This window comes from Homo sapiens, chromosome 13 (assembly GCF_000001405.40).
Source record: "Homo sapiens chromosome 13, GRCh38.p14 Primary Assembly".
Taxonomy (NCBI): domain Eukaryota; kingdom Metazoa; phylum Chordata; class Mammalia; order Primates; family Hominidae; genus Homo; species Homo sapiens.
In genome coordinates this window covers 109,914,770-109,916,237 of record NC_000013.11, presented here as the reverse complement: position 1 = coordinate 109,916,237, position 1,468 = coordinate 109,914,770, and the positions used below count along the sequence as shown (strand labels likewise).

The window sequence follows — 1,468 nt, the reverse complement described above, 5'->3', positions numbered from 1 at the left end:
CCACTTCCCCACTTTCCTGCAGAATTGGGGCACCTGTCCAATAGCCCCTTGCATCTAGACTATTGTCTCAGCATCTGATTCCAGGGGAACCCAAACTAAACAAGTGATCAGGGAAAACCCCTGCTTCAGATCACTGAATGCCCACTGAAAAATGTGAGTGGAGGATGCCCCGTGAGGTATAAGAAGGAGGACCATAAACCCCAGGCCGAGAACTCGTGGACCAGCTGTGTGCGCAGAGACGGGCTTTTCCAAAAAGACAGACAAACCATCAAGTAAGAATGTGGTGCAGGGGCTCAGAAGAGCCCTAAACCTTCTATGCCTTCTGTCCTCTCTGGTAAATATTGCCATAACTGGCTTATCAAATCCAGACATCGTACCTAAGAGGTGTGAGTGTAACATACAAGAAGGAGCAGCATTTGGGGCATAATAGTGTCTTCTTTCCAGAATTTCTCAGTGAAGCATTCTTTCATTCCCCAAGACAGAGTTAACTGTTGCTTTCTCTGTTTCTCTAGAACCCTGCTCACTTGATATATCAGCTTCCTAGGGCTGCTGTAACAAAGCACCACAAACTAAGTGGCTTACACAACTGAAACCATTTTCTCATAGTCCTGGAGGCCAGAAGTTCAACATCAAGGTGTTGGCAGGGTTCGTTCCTACTGAGCACCATAAGGGAAGGATTAGTTCCAGGCCTCTCTTCTGTGCTGGTAGATTTCAAGTCTCTTCCTGAAGCTTCAATTCTCCCTGAGGCTTCAATTCTCTTCCTCTATGAATATCTCTGTGTTCAAATTTCCCCTTTTTCTAAGGACATTAGTCATATTGGATTAGGGCTCACCCTCACGACTTCATTTAAACTTGATTACCTCTGTAAAGACCCTCTCTTCAAATAAGATCAGATTCCGGGTACTGAGAGCTTGTTTGGAGGTTCTAGCGGGGGAACGCAGCTACTCGTAAACCCTTGACCAAAGACTGGTCTTCCTCTATCGCGGATGGTTTTCCTCTTTGACCGAGCGTGCAGCTTTGGGAGGGACGCACATGGAGGGGTGACGGAGGAAAGGGATACCCGCCTGGCCAGCCAGATCAGCCGATGCAACCCTAGCGATCAGTGGGGAGACAGATGTCACAGCGAGATCTCCCTCACATCCAGATTCTGGGTACTGAGAGTGAGGACTTTCACATATGAATGTGGAGGAACACAGTCCACTCACAGAACACCACCATGAACCACTGTGTTGCCGTCATTCTCTTTCCCTTCCCCAGCACACTATGTGCCCCTCAGATTTGGTCTCTTTGCCTCTGGCATAGCTGTTGGAATATTTTTCTTTTTACTAAATTTTATTTTACTTTGGTATGAAAATCTACCCTCTGGACAAATGTTTAAGCATCCAATACGGTATTGCTCATTATAAGCACAATGTCGTAAATAGCAGATCTCTAGAGCTTTTTCATCCTGCATAACTGAGACTTCATG

The 1,468-nt window shown here is 46.3% G+C and overlaps 1 pseudogene; it reads right to left on the bottom strand.

Moving 5' to 3' along the window:
• RN7SKP10 (RN7SK pseudogene 10) lies at positions 818 to 1,142 on the bottom strand (annotated as a pseudogene).